General features: G+C 42.3%; 1 protein-coding gene across 1 annotated transcript in view; it reads left to right on the top strand.

Moving 5' to 3' along the window:
- The window catches only part of DCDC2 (doublecortin domain containing 2), a 211,538-nt gene continuing 201,747 nt past the window's right edge, over positions 13,251 to 23,041 (top strand). The window contains exon 1 of the mRNA NM_001195610.2: positions 13,251 to 13,362. The gene's annotated coding sequence lies outside the window, so the exon portion shown is untranslated. The remainder of the gene's footprint in view (positions 13,363 to 23,041) is intronic.

The raw sequence follows: 23,041 nt of genomic DNA, 5'->3' as shown, positions 1-23,041 counted from the left end.
CTATCAGGAAGAAGGTGTAGAGGGAGGTGCTTGCCCACTAACTTCAAGCCCAGTGAGAGGAGCTTCTTAAGACCCACTCTAGGAGCTTGAAGAGTTTATAGACTCACACCTGAGCAAGCAATAGACGCTTTGCATCAGGAAAGTAACTGTGTTTTCTCTAAAGGTACATAAAGCCTGAAGTGCAGATGTGACAAGAATATCAGCCTGGGATTGTTTTAAAAAGAATCCTTCCCCAAAGAGCAGCATATCAGGGAGTGAGGAATCTGGCCTTAGAGGCAAGAAGGGGCAGAGCTCAAAGTGATCCGAAGTGGCACCGCCCTTATCAAGGGAATGGCAACCAGATGGGCCTGGGGTGGGGGCGGAAGAGAAGTCCTCTGGAGAACCTCCTTACAATGTGAACCTGTGCACAAGGAGAGTCCACTTTAAAATCTGCCCCAGCTGGGCACGGTGGCTCATGCCTGTAATCCCAGCACTTTGGGAGGCCGAGGTGGGTGTATCACCTGAGGTCTAGAGTTCGAGACCAGCCTGGGCAACATGGTGAAATCCCGTCTGTACTAAAAATACAAAATTAGCTGGGTATGGTGGTGCATGCCTGTAATCCCAGCTACTTGGGAGGCTGAGGCAGGAGAATTGCTTGAACCCGGGAGGTGGAGGTTGCAGTGAGACAAGATCGTGCCATTGTACTCCAGCCTGGGCGACAAGAGCGAAACTCTGTCTCAAAAACAACATAATATAAAATAAATAAAATAAAATAAAATAAAATAAAATAAAATAAAAAAACAAAATAAAAAAAATAAAATAATCTGCCCTGCCTGGAGGGCATGATGCCTTCTTCCAATGAAAGCTTCTGGTTCATCTTACTTTGCCTTACCACCCCAGCAGAGTCAGAAACAGCAGCCATGGAGTAAGAAAGGTGGCAGCAAGGGATAGGGGAGCTGGCACAGGATCTCTATCTACACCAAAATTTCTCCAAGCCCAACAAGGAAAGAGGGGCCAAGTCTTTCTTTGAATGAGGATTGAAGTGTTGATTAGTATATTAGGTCTTACATTGTAAATTACTGAATTGAAATTACCATATGGACTGGACGTTTTAAGTTAGTGAGTTGAGTAACTTAGTTACTAGAGTAGAACACAGGACTGAAGGACCAGAAAAGTCATGGAACCTGCCCAAGTTATCAAGAAGCAGGAGAAGGACTAGCCCCACTCAGCAAGATTAAAGAGACTGCAAGTGACAAAAATAAAGTGGCTTCTATGATTACACCCCATGAGTCCTGCATGTTCCAAGTCCTAGTCATAGTGGTTTCAGATGATCAGTTACACAATCTTGATTGCGTAGAGAAGGAAGAGCAGCCAGGAGGAGTCTGCTGGGAGAATATAATCATCGTGGGTGTAAAGCCTTAAGGAGACTATGGTCAGAGTAGGATATTCATACTGCAACATTTCTGAGATGAAACGGTTCTGGATGGGAACCTAATCCACAGTGTGAGGCACACTGAGCCAGATGAAGAGGAGAAACTAAGAAAAATTTCCAGCCAGGGGAAAAATGTGTGGGCAGACTAGTGCTTTTGGAGGTAGTTGTGCCTGGAGCAAGGTGGGTGAGGAGCTGGAGTGATTCTAGATAAGGCCAGAGGGGTAGGCAGGGACTAGGTCATGCTGGTCTCGTGCTTTGTCAGCCATGGCAAGGAGATTTGATTTCATTCTTTGAGACATGGGGAACTCTTGAAGGGTTTTAAACCAGGGGCAAAGATTCTACATTCATTTTAAAATGATTGCTCTGGCCTCCTTTTGGAGGCTGGATTGTAGAGAGGGGAGAGTGAAAGCAGAGAGATCTTTGAAAGGCTGCATGTAGCAGGCATCCATAAAATATTTGACAGCGCTTGGGATAGGGCAGGTGCAATGGATATGGTGAAGTTAGACTAAAGAGATATTTAGGAAGTAGAGTGGGTAGGACTTGGTGATTAATAAGAGGAAGATGTATTAGGTTGCTAGGGCTGCCATAACAAAATATCCCAGACTGGGTGGTATAAACAACATAAATTAATTTTCTCACAGCTCTGGGAGTTAGTAGTCCAAGATCAAGGTTAAAAAATCAAGGGTTGGTTTCTTTTGAGACCTCTCTCCTCGGCTTGTAGATGTCAATATTCTCTCTGTGTCCTCACATGGTTTTCTCTGTGCATACATCCCTGGTATCTCTTCATGTCCTAATCTCTTCTTTTAAGGACACCAGTTAGATTGGATTAGGGCTCACCCTAATAGAGTCATTTTGCCTACCCTAATAAAGTTAACCCCATTTGGAGATAAGGCCTTTACCTCTTTAAAGGCCTTATCTCCAAATTCAGTTACATTCTGAGATACTGGGGGTTAGGGTTTCACCATATGGATTTTAGGAGAACACAATTCAGTTCATAACAGAAAATAAAGATGAAACCTATTATATCATTCTAGCAGGAGCAAGATGCTGAATTATGATGCTGTGTGCTGAATCGGGGAACCCTGGAGGAAGTGATGGTTTAGATTGGGAGTTCCATTTTGAGCATGGTGAGTTCAACATTGCCACATAAATATCCAACAGAATAAACAGCTGGGCTGGGCATGGTGGCTAACATCTGTAATCCTAGCACTTTGAGAGGCCTAGGCGAGTGGATCAGTTGAGGTCAGCAGTTTGAGACCAGTCTGGCCAACATGGGGAAACCTTGTCTCTACAAAAAATGCAAAAATTAGCTGGGCATGGTGGCAGGCACCTGCAATCCTAGCTACTCCGGAGGCTGAGGCAGGAGAATTGCTTGAACCTGGAAGGCAGAGGTTGCAGTGAGCTGAGATCATGCCACTACACTCCAGCCTGGGCAACAAAGACTCCATCTCAAACAAACAAGCAAATTAAAAACAAAAAACAAAAACAAAAGCAAAACAAAACAAAAAAACAACAGTTGGGTACATTGGTCTAGACCTGCGAAGAAAGTAAGTCTAGGCTAGATATAGAAATGTAGGAGTTTTGGCATATAGATAATAAGGGAGGCCATGGGAACGCAGGGGATTCCCTAGGGAAAGAGAGGAGAACGGGGCCCAGGACAGTCCCCAAGGCACACCAAACAACACCGCGGAGGTGGAGGAGGAGCCATCAAAGGAGATTGAGGAGGGCAGGCCCTTTGTCACCTCTTAGTATGTCCAGGTGCTCCTCAATTTGTGATGGAGTTACATCCAGACAAACCCATTGTAAATTGAAAATATCTGGCCAGGCATAGTGGCTTATTCCTGTAATTCCAGAACTTTGGAAGGCTGAGGTGGGAGGATTACTTGAGACCAGGAGTTTGAGAGCAGCCTGGGCAACATAGTGAGACCCTTTTTCAAAAAATAAAAAATAAAATTTACTGAGTGTGGTGGCATGCCTGTAGTCTCAGCTACTCAAGAGGTTGAGGAGGGAGGATCCCTTGAGGCCAGGAAGCTGAGGATGCAGTGAGCCAAGCTTGTACCACAGCACTCCAGCCTGGGTGACAGAGCAAGGTCCTGTCTCAAAAAAAACCCCAAAAAAGTACATATATGTATAGATAGATAGATAGATAGATAGATAGATAGATAGATACACTTACACACATTTAGATATGTCTATTGATCTCTATATCTCTATATGTCTATCTATAGCTATATCTACATATCTATATCTATCTATAGATGTATCTTTTGTTTTGTTTTTTTGAGACAAAGTCTCACTGTGTCACCCTGGCTGGAGTACAGTAGCATGATCTCAGCTCACTGCAACCTCCACCTCCTAGATTCAAGTGATTCTTGTGCCTCAGCCTCCCAAGTAGCTGGGATTACAGGCATGTGCCACCACACCCGGCTAATTTTTTGTATTTTTAGTAGGGACAAGGTTTCATCCTGTTGCCCAGACTGGTTTCAAACTCCTGAGCTCAGGTGATACACCTGTCTCAGCCTCCCAAAGTGTTGGGATTACAGGCGTGAGCCACTGCGCCTGGTCACTAGAGATATATCTATATACATAATAAGTCAAAAATGTGTTTAATATATCTAATCTACCAAACATCATAGCTTAGCCTAGCCTACCTTAAACATTCTCAGAACCCGTGCATTAGCCTAGGGTTGGGCACAATCACTGGACAACACAGTACACTGTAGAGTATTGGGTGCTTATCCTGGTGATCACCTGGCTGACTGGGAGCTCTACTCATTTCTGCTGCCCACCTTCATGAGAGAATATTGTACAGCATAGCACAAGCCCAGGAAAAGACCAACATTCAAAATCCAAAGGATGGTTTCTACTGGTTGTGTATCACTTTGGCAGCATCATAAAGTTGCAAAATCATCAGTCAAACCACCATAAGTCAGAGACCATCTGTATTACCTAATTGGTGGTAAGCCCAAATAAAATAGTAAAGTTACCCCAAGACCACAATGCTTTTGGCTCTCTTGGTGGAGTAGTGATGGTTAGGCTGGTTGTAATAAAGGGGTTAGAAGTTACCATCACTCTAATTTTCATTAAGTTCCATAATGAAACAACCCATGGGCCTCCTTCATAAAAACCAACGCAGATCCTCAGCTTTGATGTGGGAGGATGGTTCTCTGTCATGGTTTTAGAAGTCTGGTCTCACAGTCCCTCTGCTGTTTCCCTTGGGGCTTTCTGACTGCCATCACCACCATTCTGAACTTGGGGGAGGTTCTACTCCTTTTTAAAGTTCTGGCTTAAGCCAGAATATTTGCATTTGTAATCATATACCAAACACTGTATGAAGATTGCAAGTAGCAAACTGGAGAAACAAAGTCGATGCAATATTGTATTATGGTTTTACTTTTCCACACTTATTCACCTTAAAGGCTTGGTTTCTTCAGGCCAGTAGTTTGCAACCTTTTGTTTAAACCTAAAGAACTGTTTGTATTTTTTTTTTTTGTAGAGGGTATAGAAATTCCGGCCACGTTACATTAGATGAAATGAACTTCCATGTAGTAAGTGTCTACACACTGATTTTTTCATTTTAGTGAGACTAATCTATTTTATTATAGATAAATGTTCCATTGTTATCAGATGATTTTTGACATGGTGAAAATAGCTTTCAGACTCTTCTTATTTTCACGAGCCTAAGGATACAAGGATCCCAGGCTGGGGATCTCAGTCCTAAAATAATTGCTTTTCCTTGGTTGCTGGAGGGATGACAATGTGTCTGTTAATCTGTTCTCTCTTTGCTCCTGCTCTCAAAGCACTTTTGCTAGCAGGCATATTTTCTAATGAAAACATTTAGACCCACCTGGAGTTAATTTAAACAATTTTACTCTCTTAGCATTTCTCCACGGGACAATAATACATATATGAATTTATATCTCATGCTTCCTATCGACCAAAACACTGAAATGTATTTTCTTTTTTTTTTTTTTTTTTGAGATGGAGTTTTACTCTTGTTGCCCAGGCTGGAGTGCAATGGCACACTCTCCACTCACTGCAACCTACGCCTCCCGGGTTCAAATGATTCTCCTGCCTCAGCCTCCTGAGTACCGGGATTACAGGCATGTGCCACCACACTTGGCTAATTTTGGGGTTTTTAGTAGAGACAGGGTTTTGCCATGTTGGTCAGGCTGGTCTTGAACTTCGGACCTCAGGTGATCCATCCACCTCGGCCTCCCAAAGTGCTGGGATTATAGGTGTGAGCCACCTCATGTGGCCTGTATTTTCTACTTTGAAAGACAACGGCTAAACATTGTAAGTATATCATAAGACAAAATAGCCTAAAAGAATGTAATCAGACATGAGACTGAGTTCATGAGAATCATATTTCCTGAATTTCTGATTTTATTGCTGGAGTTTTAGTGAAAATGTATTTGGCTTTGAATTTAATAAATACTATTTATAAAGTTTATGGCTTGTAGATTGCACATGAAAATGATTGTAGAATATTCTTATATCAGGATTTCTCAACCTCAGTTCTATTGACATTTTGGTCGAGATAATTCTTTCTGGGGATGAGAGGTGATCTGTGCATTGCAGGTTGTTTAACAATATTTCTGACCTTTACTCACTAGGTCCCAGTAGCACCCCTTCCCAGAGTTGTGACAACCAGAAATGTGTCTAGACATTGCTATTATCTTCGGAGTGGTTCTGGTTGAGAACCACTGTGTTTTATAATAAGGAGTAGGATCTACAAACCCCAAGACCATTCCATTTCTTTTTTTTTCTTTTTCTTTTTTTAATTTTTAGATGGAGTCTCACTCTGCCACTCAGGCTAGAGTGAAGTGGTGCAATCTCGTCTCACTGCAACCTCTGCCTCCTGGGTTCAAGCGATTCTCGTGCCTCAGCCTCCTGAGTAGCTGAGATTACAGATGTGTGCCACCACACCTGGCTAGTTTTTTGTATTTTTAGTAGAGATGGGGTTTCACCATGTTGGTCAGGCTGGTCTCCAACCCCTAACCTCAAATGTTCTGCCCACCTCAGCCCCCCAGAGTGCCGGGATTACAGGCGTGAACCACTGCACCTGGCCTCCCCAAAACCATTTCTTTTGTTTTAGAAGTTATATCCCTTTAAATGTTCATAGACATCTTCTTCACATATGGTAGATATTAAAATTTGTAAAACGGTTAGTAGACTCCAGCACTAAGTTAAATTTATTTTTCTTTAGGCTTTTATGACTTCAAATGTGTTCTGTTTTATTGTGTCCATTACCACAAAATGAAATCCCAACTTTGTGAGCTTTTTTTTTTTTTTTGAGATGGAGTCTTGCTCTGTCGCCCAGGCCTGAGTGCAATGGTGGGATCTCGGCTTACTGCAACCTCCACCTCCCGGGCTCAAGTGATTCTCCTGCCTCAGCTTCCTGAGCAGCTGGGATTACAGGTACCCGCCACCATGCCTGGCTAATTTTTGTATTATTAGTAGAGATGGGGTTTCACCACGTTGGCCAGGCTGGTCTCGAACTCCTGACCTTGTGATCCGCTCACCTAGGCCTCCCAAAGTGCTGGGACTGCAGGCATGAGTCCCCTGGCCCATTTTCCTTTTTAAAAACAGCACCTACAATGGCAGGTGGGCTTCTCTGAGGTCTGTGTCCATGACCTATCTGAGGATTCCAGGAGATGCCTTTTCCCATGATTTTCAAGAAGTTTGGCCACAGGAGGGAGCACTATTCCTAAGCTTGCTTGTTTATTCTTAACTATTTTTTTTTTTTTTTTTTTTTTTTTTTTTGAGACGGAGTGTCGCTCTGTTACCCAGGCTGGAGTGCAGTGGCGCGATCTCAGCTCACGGCAAGCTCCGCCTCCCGGGTTCACGCCATTCTCCTGCCTCAGCCTCCTGAGTAGCTGGGACTACAGGCACGCGCCGCCACGCCCGGCTAATTTTTGTATTTTTAGTAGAGACGGGGTTTCACCGTGTTAGCCAGGATGGTCTCGATCTCCTGACCTTGTGATCCGCCCGCCTCGGCCTCCCAAAGTGCTAGGATTACAGGCGTGAGCCACCGCGCCCGGCTATTCTTACCTATTTTAATACGTGCTTGTATTTTAATATAAGATTGTCAGAGAGAGTTAATTCCTATCTAGAAATCAGAAATATAACTAGATTTTACATCAGTACTCTGAACACATCTCCTTTCTTATAATCTAAGCTCATGCTGCCTGACACTGAATTTCTTTTTTTTAGTTACCATTTTTGAAATCAGTACTGTAAGATAGTACCTCAAGGTGAAAGATTGCTGCATCACATAGCTATTTTAAAATAATTTCTCAGAATAAGAGTATTAAAACTAACATTCTCTACTTTGAAGAAAATGCGTGGCATATGGTGACAGTTGATAATTGGTGCAGCCTCTACCTTTATATGAGATTGATGGGTATATTGAGAAGGTGTTGAATGTAAGGTAGCATTTTTTTCTTTTTCTTTTTTTTTTTGAAACGGAGTTTCTCTCTTGTCACCCAGGCTGGAGTGCAGTGGCGCAATCTCGGCTCACTGCAACCTCTGCCTCCCAGGTTCAAGCAGTTCTCCTGCCTCAGCCTGCGGAGTAGCTGGGATTACAGGTGCCCACCACCATGCCCAGCTAATTTTTTGTATTTTTAGTAGAGACGGGTTTTCACCATGTTGGCCAGGCTGGCCTTAAGCTCCTGACCTCAGGTGATCCACCCACCTCAGCCTCAGAAAGTGCCGGGATTACAGGCATGAGCCACCATGTCCAGCCCATTTTTTTCTTTTTATAAGCATTTAACTTCTGTCAAAATGTTTGAGATTCTGGCTTGTAAATATAGTGGATCTTAACAAGTGTACATTTGTTCTGTGCTAAAAAATAAATGTACACACACTTCATATTGTAATATGCTTGAATTGGCTCTGGATAACAGCCAAGAATGATATAGCAAATTTCATGAGAAATGACTTTAACATAATTTAGTTTTGGGAGCTAGAATTAAATAGAGTAAAACTTTGTAAGACATGGTGTACCATTTATTAAATTTCACCATTTTATCTATTTAGAAACCCGGTTCACTACAGGATATGCCTCTGTACTTTCTGCTGCCTTCTGCCTACATGATCAATGTGAAGCCAGGCCCAGACATGTCTCATCTAGAATGATTTGAGAAGAATTTGATTTCACTTTTCTGAGAAGGTTGGGAAAGATTCTGACTTTATCCAGTTTACCAGACATGGCAGTGAAGTAAGTGTGTGTGTGTGTGTGTGTGTGTGTGTTGTTGTTTGTTTTTTGTTTTTGTTTTTGTTTTTGTTTTGAGATGGAGTCTTGCTCTGTCACTCAGGCCGGAGTGCAATGGCATAATCCCGGCTCACTGCAACCTCTGTCTCCTGGGTTCAAGCAATTCTCCTGCCTCAGCCTCCTGAGTAGCTGGGATTACAGGCGCCCGCTGCCATGCCCAGCTAATTTTTGTATTTTTAGAAGAGACAAGGTTTCACTATGTTAGCTAGGCTGGTCTCGAACTCTTGACGTCAGGTGATCCGCCTGCCGCAGCCTCCTAAAGTGCTGGGATTATAGGCGTAAGACACTGTGCCTGGCCGGCAGTGAAGTTTTAAAACTGATGGAGAGGTATCTGCACCTTTTAATTTTTAAAAATTTCTTTTAAATGATGTTGCTAAATGTACATTTTAATATAATGCTATGTCTAAGGGAGGGTCTCAAAGTATCCAAATTTTGATACGAGATGGCAGAACTTCAGGGAGCCAGCAAGTGCAGGGCATGGGTTTCAGGTTTAGTTGATGAATAGTCTAGCTAACTGTTCATCGGCTAACCTGAAGCCCATGTTTCTTTCAACCCTTCTGATTGGGAGTGTTTCTAAACTGTATTATTCTTTTCTGCAACAGTAAATAGTGATTCTTTGGTGATCTGGGCTATGTTTATAAATATAATTTTTTATTGGTGAATACCCTAGAATTAGTTCTCATGTCAGATAAACTCACTTTTAGTTTCCATAATATCTTACAATCGAAGTGGTTGATGAGAGTGCAGACGGTTCCCAGCTTACAGTGATTCGACTTATGATGCTGTAAAGGCAACACGCATTCAGTAGATACCATACTCTGGGTACCCATAGGACGGCCAGGCAAGGTGGCTCATGCCTGCAATCCCAGCACTTTGGGAGGCCTAGGCAGGGGGATCACCTAGGTCAGGTGTTCAAGACCAGCCTGGCATACATGGTGAAACACTGTCTCTACGAAATAAAAAAATTAGCTGGGCATGATGGTGGGTGCCTGTAATCCTAGCTGCACGGGAGGCTGAGGCAGGAGAATCGCTTGAACCCGGGAGGCAGAAGTTGCAGTGAGCTGAGATTGCGCCATTGCACTCCAGCCTGGGCTTCAGAGTGAGACTCCATCTCAAAAAAAGGAAAGAAAAGAAAAAGAGTACCTATACAACCATTCTGTTTTTCTCTTTCAGTACAGTATTCAATAAATTACATGAGGTATTCGACACTTTATTATAAATAAGCTTTGTGTGAGATGATTTTGCCCAACTGTAGACTAATGTAAATCTTCTGAATGTGTTCAAGCTAGGCTAAGCTGTGATGTTTGCTAGGTTAGGTGTATTAAGTGCATTTTCACTTAGAATATTTTGCATTTACAGTAAGTTTATCAGGACAAAACCCCATTGTAAATTGAAGAGCATCTGTAAAGGAAGATGGCTAGATCCTAAGAAGACAGCTACCAGCTTTGTTTCTTCCTCTACTGGGAAACTTCGTGATTTCGAAGGTGAAGAAATGTTGATGGCAACTGGACTCTTTTTTTTTGAGATGGAGTCTCGCTCTGTTGCCCAGGCTGGAGTGCAGTGGCACGATCTCAGCTCACTGCGACCTCTGCTCACTGCAACCTCCACCTCCCAGGTTTAAGCAATTCTCCTGCCTCAGCCTCCCAAGTAGCTGGGATAATAGGCACGCACCACCCTGCCCAGCAAATTTTTTATTTTAGTAGAGATGGAGTTTCACCATGTTAGCCAGGCTGGTCTCGAACTCCTGCCCTCAAATGATCTGCCCGCCTCGACCTCTCAAAGGGCTGGGATTACAAGCATGAGCACTAAGCCCGGCTGAGCATAGACTTTTTAGGAAAGGCCAAGTGGTGGCAGCATCCAGTTGTACATGTAATTCTGTAGGAGAGATTTGCGATCTACAGCCTGGGATGACTCCCTATAGTCTAAGGTAACTGTGATTACAAGATGTGCCATTTTTTAATGTACCCTTAACAAAGAAAAAATTTTCTGATTAAATGATGACACAGTGCCTTCTTATGACATAGATTTTCAAAAATTTTATACTTACTGAAAGTATTCTTTTTTTTTCAAGAGACAGGGTTTTACTTTGTCAACCTGGCTGGAGTGCAGTTGTGCAATCATAGTTCACTGTAACTTTGAACTCCTGGGCTCAATTGATCCTTTCACCTCAGCCTTTCAAGTATCTAGGGCTGCAGGTACACAGCATCACGCTTGGCTAATTTTTAAATGTTTTGTAGAGATAGGGGTCTCAATGTGTTACTCAGGCTGGCCACAAACTCTTGACCTCAAGTAAGCTTCTCACGTCAACCTCCCCAAAGTGCTGGATTTATAGGCATGAACCACTGCACCTGGCCAAGTATTCTTTTAGACTTACTTATACATAGATTTTTTTCTTATTTCTCTTTTTTGGACATATATTTTTATAATATAACATTCTCTTACGTTAACAGAGAAATGCAAGCAAAATTTTAGTTAAGGCATTTCTAAAACTTTATTTCAATTCTAAATCGTGTTGTAATCTTAAAAAATATCAGGTAACCTGCTCGGGTCCCCTTCTGTGCCGTGGGGAAGCTTTGTCCTTTCGCTCTTCACAATAAACTTTGCTACCGCTAAAAACAAAACAAAACAAAACAACAACAACATCAAAAATCATTGTAAAAGTCAGTTAAACTTAACATCTGAGATAATAACCATGCACACATCTCATCTAAAGTGATGACAATGTGAACAGTATGATGAAGTTCTGATTTGCTCATGCAATCACCTATGCCGTGACCACCACCTGGCCAGGACAATTACTTGTAAGAGTTCATTGACTGTAAGGCACATCCTTATTTCAGAGATTTAAAGATGTGGAAAAAAATGTGCATCTTGGTGCTAGAGAGGATGTGGAGAAACAGAAATGTTTTTACACTGTTGGTGGGAGTGTAAATTAGTTCAACCATTGTGGAGGATGGTGTGGTGTTTTCTCAAGGATCTAGAACTAGAAATACCATTTGACCCAGCAATCTCATTACTGGATATATATCCACAGGATTATAAATCATTCTACTATAAAGACACATGCACACATATGTTTACTGTGGCACTATTCACAATAGCAAAGACTTGGAACCAACCCAAATGTCCATCATTGATAGACTGGATAAAGAAAATGTGGCACATATACACCATGGAATACTATGCAGCCATAAAAAAGGATGAGTTCATGTCCTTTGCAGGGACATGGATGAAGCTGAAAACCATCATTCTCAGCAAACTAACACAGGAACAGAAAACCAAACACCACGTGTTTTCACTTATAAGTGGGAGTCGAACAGTGAGAACACATGGACACAGGGAGGGAAACATCACACACTGGGGCCTGTCGGGGTGGGAGTGTAGAGGAGGGATGGCATTAGGAGAAATACCTAATGTAAGTGATGGGTTGATGGGTGCAGCAAACCACCATGGGACGCACATACCTATGTAATAAAACTGCATGTTCTGCACGTGTACCCCAGAACTTAAAGTATAATAACAATTAAAAAAAAGTGCATCTGGGAAAAAATGAAGTGTGGTGATTTGTTTCTTTTTTTTTTTTTTTTTTTTGAGACGGAGTCTCGCTCTGTCACCCAGGCTGGAGTGCAGTGGCGCGATCTCCGCTCACTGCAAGCTCCGCCTCCCGGGTTCACGGCATTCTCCCGCCTCAGCCTCCCGAGTAGCTGGGACTACAGGCGCCCGCCACCGCTCCCGGCTAATTTTTTGTATTTTTAGTAGAGAAGGGGTTTCACCGTGCTAGCCAGGATGGTCTCGATCTCCTGACCTCGTGATCCACCCACCTCGGCCTCCCAAAGTGCTGGGATTACAGGCGTGAGCCACTGCGCCCGGCCTGTTTCTTCCTTTCTCTTCTCCTCCTCTGGTTTAAGTAAATTCCTGATATTCGTTTTGCCATTTGTCTCCCTCAGATTAAAATGGAGTTGATCATGGTTGAAAAATTACATTTAGGTAGGGTTCAGGGTGTGCTGAGTAACATTTTACTGCATTTTTAAGTTAAATGTTCTTAAAACTTTTTTATTCATAAAGATGCTTCAAAATGTGCTTTTAAAATCTACATGCAGTATGGTTTCATTGTATTATCTGAAAATGTCACTGGGAAATGATCAAAAAGATTCCCAAACTGAGGGGTTGAAAAATGCTATATTGGGCAATTACTGAATCTTCTGTAGTTTTTGAGTAAGCTGGAACCCAATATATGTGAGTAGAAAATATTAGGATGTCTATCCTTAATAATATTATCTCCTCTGCTGCTCACAGTCTTATCAACTGATACAAAATTTTTTAATTAAAATTTTCAACCTTTGACATCAGAACATCATAGTTCATTAAAGTAGCCCTTTCCATTAATTCCAGAAACTGGACTCCAGTTAACCAGTAACTTCTGTATCAGTGACATAATTTCCTGCACAATTGTTACTTTGTAATGGTTAACTTCTCTCTTAGTTGTTCGCAGCAGGGGGTAGTTTTCTTACTTTTTTTTTTTTTTTTTTGAGACAGAGTTTCGCTCTTGTTGCCCAGGCTGGAGTGCAATGGTGCCATCTTGGCTCACCGCAACCTCTGCCTTCCAGGTTCAAGCAATTCTCCTGCCTTAGCCTCCTGAGTAGCTGGAATTACAGGCATGCGCCACCACGCCCAGGTAATTTTGTATTTTCAGTAGAGACGGGGTTTCTCCATGTTGGTCAGGCTGGTCTCCAACTCCCGACCTCAGGTGATCCCACTGCCTCGGCCTCCCAAAGTGCTGGGATTACAAGCATGAGCCACCATGCCCAGCCTAGGGGGTAGTTTTCTTTCATGAGTCTGCTATTATAATTCACGGTGACTTAAGACATTTTACCCTATAATAAAACAAAAACCTCTGAGTAGTAAGAGATAGTACTGTTTGACCTCAGTAACTGTCCATGAACTAAAAAAAAATCCATGAAAGTTACTGACTAAAAAACTGATAGTCCAAACTGGACTATACCAGCAGCAGCCTTTTGATGAGATGGAGTCAGACACTTGGCCATCTAAACACAATTGTTGGTATTAAAGGATAGTGAGAGTCTTTTGAAGAGAAAAAAAGAAAAGAATACTTTGTTCTGAGGTTGTGTAGAATTAAGGTCAGAGGAGAAATTTAGCCTGTCAGTAGTGTGAAAATACGAAAGAAGCCCCTGGAAAATTTGAAACAGGGTGAATCCAGTTTCATTTCATTGTTCTATTGCTCAAACCTTAAATTACAGAAGGATTAGCACAGTTTAGCAAAAGTAACAACAAAAAACCAGCAAACTCAGATGTACACTACTTAAATTTTTGCTTTAATGAAATCTGATAATAATTTGTATGGGCAGCAAGCCAAATCATAGACTTCAATTCTTTAGGGGGAAAAAAGGCATTGACTGCCTAATATATTTTGGCTTTATTGATTTTTTTAAACATTGCTTCTGACTAATGTACATGAAATTTTTATACCTGTTTACTTAGTGATTATGCATATAAATAATTGAGAGCTGAGAAACAGAAAAACAAAACTTAGTTTGATGCAGTAACTAGCACCTGATATCATTCCTGAGGTATTTGCCGGAGTCTGTAGAGTCAAGCAGAAGAAAATGAGCAACAATTTTATTAACTCCTAATCTTAGAGGGTCTTGCTCCCATTGAGAGTGACAAAAATAATTTAATTGTAAGTGAAGGACATGAAAAATTGCCTGGAGTATTGAAAGGATTTTGAGCTTAGCTTGCCCAGTTTTATGAAAGTTTTTTCTCCCCATGGCTGGACTGTGAAATCACCATGGAGGAGAAATTGCTTTATTTAAATAGCTTGCCTGCCTTCCTTCCTTCCTTCCTTCCTTCCTTCCTTCCTTCCTTCCTTCCTTCCTTCTTTCTTTCCTTCTTCTTCTTTCTTTCTTTCTTTCTCTTTCTCTCTTTTCTTTCTCCTTCTTTCTTTCTTTTTTCTTTATCTCTTTCTTTCTTTTATTTCTCCTTCCTTCCTTCCTTCCTTCCTTCCTTCCTTCCTTCCTTCCTTCCTTCCTTCCTTTCTTTCCTTCCTTTCTTTTCCAATAGTGATGAGATCTTATTGTGTTGCCCAGGCTGCTCTCTAACTCCTGAGCTGAAGTGTTGCTCCTGCCTCAGCCTCCCAAACTGCTGGAATTACAGGCATGAGCCATGGCACCCCGCTTTTAAATATATTTTCTGTGTAAAGACTCTAAGAATCTGTGTAAAGAATCACAACAAACTCCTGGTAAGAGAGTAAATTGTGCCGCAATTAGAATTACTCAAAGAAAAGTTTTAATAGTGCGTCTACTTCTGCTGTTCTGCAGCCAGGCCAGCTTAGCAGCATCTTAAGCCTGCCGCTGAGGCAGAAATCATTTAAAAAACCAATCTCTGTCTCTGTCTCTGTCTCTCTATCTCTCCTCTCTCTTTTTAAAGATTCTACATATGAGGGAGATCTTACAGTATTGATCTCACTGTGTCTGGCTTTTTCAGTTAACAGATGAGTGAGTTCTGGGGATCTAAGGTACATTGTGGTGACTATGGTTAATAATATTATCTGATATACTACTTGAAATTTGCTAAGACAATAGACATTAAGTGTTCTCACCACACATACAAATGCTAATTATGTGAAATGAGAGATGTGCTAATTAACTTGATTGTGCTTATTTCATAATGTATATGTATATCATATCATCATGTTGTATACCTTAAATGCATACAATTTTTTAACGTGTTTTTCTAATTCTTTTTTTTTTTTTTCTTGAGACAAGACTTCACTCTGTCACCCAGGCTGCAGTGCAGTGGTGTGATCATGGCTCGCTAAAGCCTCAACCTTGGACTCAAGTGATCCTCCCACCTCAGCCTCCCAAGTAGCTTGGGACTATAGGCCCACACCACCACACCTGGTTAGTTTTTTAATTTTTGTAGAGATGGGTTCCCACTGTGTTGTCCAAGCTGGTCTTGAATTCCTGGGCTCAAGCCCTGGGCCTCCCACAGTTCTGGGATTACAGGTATGAGCTACTGCACTCGGACTACAATTTTTATTTGTCAATTATACCTTAATAAAGCTGAGGCAAAAATAAGCCAAAGCCCATCTCTTTGGTTTGGTCCTCACTCCTCATAATTGATCAATTCTCCCGGGGGTTCTGATTTTCTGTAACTATAGTGTATTACTTTATTCTTCAGCTTCCAGAAACTAGCATGTATAAGAACAAATCTATGATAAAAATTATGTATATTGCCAATAGATACACTGAAACACATCAAAGGGTGAATGAGTTGATGATCATTGTAGTGCCAACTCCTGCCACATCCTTCTCTGGTAGCTCATGCAACGGAACTCTCTCGTAAAATCTCCTTCCTTGATACTTTGATGTTTAGACATTTCTTCATTCGCCACTTGCTTTCTTCATCTTCAGTCCACTTTAAGACCTGTGGGTCTATCCACTTTCAAAGAAAGGAAGTAAATGGGCATAACTAATATATGTAAACCAGGCACTTTTTAGAACAAACAATATGCAAAATAAAGGGGGGTGGTGATTGGTTAGAAATGGTACTTCTGGCATTACAAATAATGGATATTATAGGCTAATTTGTGTCTCCCCACAACATTCATATGTTGACATCCTAACCTTGGTTGACTTTTATTATTATTATTATACTTTAAGTTCTAGGATACACGTGCACAATGTGCAGGTTTGTTACATAGGTATACATGTGCCATGTTGGTTTGCTGCACCCATCAACCCATCATTTACATTAGGTATTTCTCCTAATGCTATCCCTCCCCCAGCCCCCCACCCCCCAACAGGCCCCAGTGTGTGATGGTCCCTTCCCTGTGTCCATGTGTTCTCGTTGTTCAACTCCTACTTATGAGTGAGAACATGCGGTGTTTGGTTTTTTGTCCTTGTTATATTTTGCTGAGAATGATGGTTTCCAGCTTTATCCATGTCTCTGCAAAGGACATGAACTCATCATTTTTTATGGCTGCATAGTATTCCATGGTGTATATGTGCCACATTTCCTTTATCCAGTCTATCACTGATGGACATTTGGGTTGGTTCCAAGTCTTTGCTATTGTGAATAGTGGCCCAATAAACATTCGTGTACATGTGTCTTTATAGTAACATGATTTATAATCCTTTGGGTATATACCCAGTAATGGGATCGCTGGGTCAAATGGTATTTCTAGTTCTAGATCTTTGAGGAATCACCACGCTGTCTTCCACAATGGTTGAACTAATTTACACTTCCACCAACAGTGTAAAAGCATTCCTATTTCTCCACATCCTCTCCAGCATCTGTTGTTCCTGACTTTTTAATGATTGCCATTCTAACTGGCATGAGATGGTATCTCACTGTGGTTTTGATTTGCATTTCTCTGATGACCAGTGATGATCAGCATTTTTTCATATGTCTGTTGGCTGTATAAATGTCTTTTTTTGAGAAGTGTCTGTTCATATCCTTTGCCCACTTTTTGATGGGGTTGTTTGTTTTTTTTCTTGTAAATTTGTTTAAGTTTTCTGTAGATTCTGGATATTAGCCCTTTGTCAGATGGATAGATTGCAAAAATTTTCTCGCATTCTGTAGGTTGCCTGTTCACTCTGATGATAGCTTCTTTTGCTGTGCAGAAGCTTTTTAGTTGAATTAGATTTCTATTTTGGCTTTTGTTGCCATTGCTTTTGGTTTTTTAGTCATGAAGTCTTTGCCCATGCCTATGTCCTGAATGGTATTGCCTAGGTTTTCTTCTAGGGTTTTTATGGTTTTAGATCTTACCTTTAAGTCTTTAATCCATCTTGAGTTAATTTTTGTGTATGGTGTAAGGAAGGGATCCAGTTTCAGCTTTCTGCATATGGCTAGATTGGCCTTTTTTTTTTTTTTTTTTTTTCCAAATGAGACAGGGTCTCCTTTGTTGCCCAGGCTGGAGTGCAGTGGCACACTCATAGCTCACTGCAGCCTTGAACTCCTGGGCTCAAGCAATCCTCCCACCTCAGCTTCAGGTAGCTGAGACTACAGGAATGCACCACTGTGCCCTGTAGCAAGGTTGGTTTTTAAAATGATTTCTGCCTCAGTGGGAGGAATTAGAAGCTGCTAGGCTGAATTTATATGCCTGCAGGACAGCTGAAAGTAGATGTAATATTGAAACTTTTCTTTGAGTAATTTCACTTGTGGGTCTTGGGTTGAGTTTCCCAGAAGCAGATCTTGAGGCAAGGATTTGTACACAGTGATTTATTCTGCAAGTGTTTCCTGAGTAATTGGTAGGACATCAGGTAAGGCAACATCCCACCGAGTGCAGCTTCAACTTTATTCCACATGGGAGCTCTGAAGTATATATCATGCCTCCAAATTAGTCTGACCTAAAGCAAGGGTGCTGGGCTTTCATACTCTCACAATAGTCGGTCCCAGCAGAAGGGACAGAGGTAGGAGTGGGGTGGTGGTAGGGAGAGTGGTGGGGAGGGAGAGAAATCATCAGACACTCTCTGCTCTCTGCCAGTTTGGATGATGCTGCTCCAGTAGTCTGAAGACAGTATGCAAAGAAGAGTCACGGGCATGGCACACAGAAGCGGGAGGGGAAACACACACAAGTGCCGAATGGAAGCCAGTGGATCTGGACAGAGCACCCACAGTGCCTATTTCAGGTAGTGAGGCACTGACTAAACTCCAGGCAGGGTCCTTTTTCTTCCTGCTCTGCTGTATTTTTACTGGGTCTGGTCAATTTCTGTTTACATAATATTTAGAATTTACCATACTATTTGGACAAGAAAGAAGAAAGATTTACCTTAAAAAATAAGAGATAACACTTTTTGGTGCATACAATGTGCTGGGCACTTCTCTAAGCAGTACACCTTTTTTCTGAGATGGAATTTTGCTCTTTTTACCCAGGCCAGAGTGCTGTGGCATGATCTCGGCTCACTGCAACCTCCGCCTCCCGGGTTCAAGCAATTCTCCTGCCTCAGCCTCCTGAGTAGCTGGGATTACAGGCACCTGCCACCATGCCTGGCTGATTTTTTGTATTTTTAGGAGAAACGGGGTTTCACCATACTGGCCAGGCTGGTCTCGAACTCCTGACCTCAGGTGATCCACCCCCCTCGGCCTCCCAAAGTGCTGGGATTACAGGTGTAAGTCATTGTGCCCGGCCTATGCTCTATACATTCTTTTAATCCTATATGCCAGTTTTATGGATAAGGACACTAAGGCTTACAAAAATTAAGTAACTTTTCTATTGGTGATACAGCTTAAGTGATGAAACCAAGATTCAAAATCAGGTTTTGAGTATCACGTAAAAATAAAACAACACAACCAGTCTTTTTTGAAGTATAATGACATTTTCGGTGAAGCAATTTAAAATCAATTTTGAGACCATCTTTATGAAATAGATACAAATGTTTACTTAGTTAAAAGGCTTAAATAGTTTGATGAATGGGTTGGAATGTGTATTTGTTTTGAAATATAATGAATCTCTAGTCAGCTTTTTTTCTTAATTTCTCTCTCATAGTAAAAGTCTAATATTACCAATAAATATTGAGCAAGTCAGTTTCAGAGGTGAAACTGAAAAAAGTCCTGAAAAAAGAACTCTGGCTCTGGAATATATATTTTTGTTCACATCTACATGCTATCTGGCATAGGAAAAGTGCAGTCCTTTCAAGAGTAAAGTTTTGTTCCCAGCGGACTGTGGCAGCTACGTAGTCCATCTGACACATTTATTGACTCCAGTGAATTTGGCTGTGGTTGAAGACCTCAGGCAATTTTTTCTTCCTTGCTGTGAAATAATTGTCTAGAGACAGGAGAATCCTCCAGATGGCTAGTTAAATGCCTCCAGAAGGCCTGGGGCATTGGTGAATCTCTCCGAGGATTTTTGTAGTTTACAAGTGGCTTTTGGTTGAAGAATCTCATTATTCAGATCCCTCAGAATGGGATCTCCAAGGTGGCGTGTTTGTGAAGGAAATTGTAAAGTAGGTATGTGGTTGCATCTCAGCATTTCTGGGTAAAACTCTCTAATGCGGAGTTTCTTTCTTTTTTTTTTTTTATTAAAAAAACAACATTGATATTTAAAATTGTTTCTTTTTTTTTCTAGCATTATTAGGATTTTTTTTTTTTTTTTTTTTTGCATATACCTGTCTTCCTCACTTTCATGTCTCAAACCCCTATATTTTCATACTGGAGGTAAAATGGGCAAAAATTAATAAGCATAGCTTGCCAGGTTCTTGCTTCCATATGAAAAGTACATGTGCATCCCATAGACTTCTCCGTCCAAATTTCCCCAGTTATTTCTAGGATGTCCCAGGGAAGGAGCTCTTAAGTCTGTACTGCTTCTCCATGTTCCTCATTCTCCACTCTAGCACCCTTTGGTGCTATTTCCTGCTTCTGCCTCTACTGCTCGTGCAGCCAAGTGCTGGCCCCTGGGCACTGTTACCGCTATGGGATGACGCTGTCTCTTGCCAGCACCATTGCCTTGGTTATGCTAGAGTCCTCAGGGGCCCAGGGAGCCCTGCCAAGACGACTCTGCTCCCTGCACCAGAATGACTCTCACCTCCCCCTCCCTCTTCCATGTTACATTTTACATACAGTACAAAAGAAGAGCTGTTTGTGTTCAGTGCGTCATAGAATTTATATTGAATACGTATTTCAGGTTTTACTTGTAGCCACATCCATTCTCCATGAGTTCAAGGAGACCGAAACTGACAAATGTGATTCTGGGCTTACATCACATTTAAGCTCGTCTCCCATGACCTAGGCTTTGTGACTGGGACCAATTTTACTTCTCTACTTCCTTTTACTTCAGGATCTGGTTTTTTTGTTTTTTGTTTTTTTTTTTCCAGGAGATGCCTTAGTTTCTCATAAAAATACATTTCTGATGGGTCCACCTAACAGTCTGTCAGGCATGCTCATATATCTGTGAATCCCAGTGATAGATACAGCTGAGACTCCAGCTAGGATGCCTCCCTCCCTCCTTCTCTCCCTCCCTCCTTCTCTGCCTCCCTTCCTTCTTCCTCTTACTCTCCCTTTTCATCTCTCTCCTTTTACACTCATACACATTATTAATGTATTCATCAAGTACCACCTATATGCTAGGCACTGTTCTAATCACTTCAGATAGAACAGCGACAAAATAGACAATGTCCTACTGTCTTGAACATTGTAGAGTGATGAGTGCTATGACCAGCACCTACAACAGAGAGCTGTGACAGACAGTGACCAGAGGCTAATTTCTATGGAGTGGTGAGGGAAGGTCTTTCTCATAAGGTAAATGTTCAGCTGAGATCTGAATAACAAGAAGGGCCCAATTATATAAAAACCTGGCATTTGAGCCTTCTATGCAGAGAGAATAACAATATTTATGACTATATATATATACGTATCTCCTAGTCTACCACTGAAAGCTTTCATTGCCCCTAAATATGTAAGAAGCGGGGTTGGGGGGGGGAGTTTACACAGAACCCACCATGATTGACTTGTTCCACTTACCCAGATGTGACACTGGGGCCCATCCTGAGCAGCACCCCATATGAGTGACCCGGCCTCATAGGCTCTCAGCAAGAGATCCCTCTCGGGACACAGCCGCATCCCGAAGCCACTGTGCACTCTAACGGGGCCTCTGGGCATATGGTTTTCAGGGTTTTTCACCTCATTCCACAGGGAGGGGAGCTCCAGGGAAATCTCAGGGCAGGTGCAGAATCACAGCAGGGGAGAGGGTGGTAGGAAGCCTGCATTCTCTTTATTCACAGGGAAGTCTAGATTCCACAGAATTAAGCTGCAGCAGATGAAGAGTGGGGCCTTCTCTTTTCACCACAGGGTATTTCTGATAGAGTAGGAAGGTGAGACTTGGATTCCCAAGACAGCTAAGGAACTCAGGTGGCTCTAGCACCCCTGTGGGGTCAGGGTCTCCCTCTCACTCCTCAGAGGGGACACTGGTCACCACAAGCTGGGGCTCCTCGCAGGCAGCCTCACTGAGTATTCTGGCTTTCAGCGTTCTCCCGATGGGGCTGAGCGATCTGTGTGTTGCTGTCCTTCACCCTGGGCTCCCCCTGAAACCACAGGCCTCCTCACTGTCCCTGAGCTGCGTCTCAGTCAGAGACCCGCTATTTGCCTGCTGGATTTTCCCATGCTTATCCCTCCATATTGTCTTTGCTCATCTTTCTCTCACTAGGACTGCTTTTATTTCCTGTTCATCTCATCACTCTCTCACATCCAGTCAACTCTTAAGGCCCAGCTCCAGACCCCACCTCCTCTGAGGGGCCCTTCCATTTTTTTTTTTTTTTTTTTTTTGGATGGAGTCTTGCTGTGTCTCCCAGGCTGGAGTGCAGTGGCCTGATCTGGTTCACTGCAACCTCCACCTCCCAGGTTCAAGCAATTCTCATGCCTCAGCATCCCAAGTAGCTGGGATTACAGATGTGAGCCACCATGCCTGGCTAATATTTTTGTATTTTTGTTTTTAGTAGAGATGGGGTTTTGCCATATTGGCCAGGCTGGTCTTGAACTCCTGACCTCAAGTGATTGATCCACCTGCCTTGGCCTCCCGAAGTACTGGGATTACAGGTGTGAGCCACCTCTCCTGGCTACCTTTCCAATTGTTGTTATTGCTCCCATTACTCTCTTCTTTGCTGGATACCAACAAACATCTAGATTCCAACTTATGCACTCTTCTCCCCTTCTTCCTCTCCTTCCTTTTTTTTTTTTTTTTTGAAATGGAGTCTCACTCTGTCGCCCAGGCTGGAGTTCAGTAGCCCAGTCTTGGCTCACTGCAAGCTCCGCCTCCTGGGTTCATGCCATTCTCCCGCCTCAGCCTCCCGAGTAGCTGGAACTACAGGCGCCCGCCACCACGCCCGGCTAATTTTTTGTATTTTTAGTAGAGACGGGGTTTCACTGTGTTAGCCAGGATGGTCTCGATCTCCTGACCTTGTGATCTGCCCGCATCGGACTCCCAAAGTGCTGGGATTACAGGCGTGAGCCACCGCGCCCAGTCCTTCCTCTCCTTCCTTTTTTCCTCCCTCCCACTTTCTTCCTTCTAAATGAGAATTAGCTTATTCATCTTCTTTTTGAAGAAAAAAATTGTTACTAAATAATACGTAACAGGAATATTTGTAAACGTATGTGAACAGCATAAAGCATTAACAATAATACAAAGACGTACCACTCCCCCTGGCTCAAGAATGAGAGATTACCATTTTCCTGCAGTAACCCCATGTGCTCCCGCTAGGTCCCACCCCCTTTATTCCCCAGTCTACATCCCGATGGGTCACCACTATCCTGAATGCGTATCTATAACTGTTCCTTACTCACCACTTTGGATCCTTAAACAGTGACTTATTTAGTTCTGTGGGCATTTGAATTTTATACTAGTG

The sequence above is a fragment of the Homo sapiens genome, chromosome 6, assembly GCF_000001405.40.
Source record: "Homo sapiens chromosome 6, GRCh38.p14 Primary Assembly".
Lineage (NCBI taxonomy): Eukaryota > Metazoa > Chordata > Mammalia > Primates > Hominidae > Homo > Homo sapiens.
The sequence above is the reverse complement of the archived record's forward strand: the minus strand, read 5'-3'. Positions and strand labels throughout refer to the sequence as shown.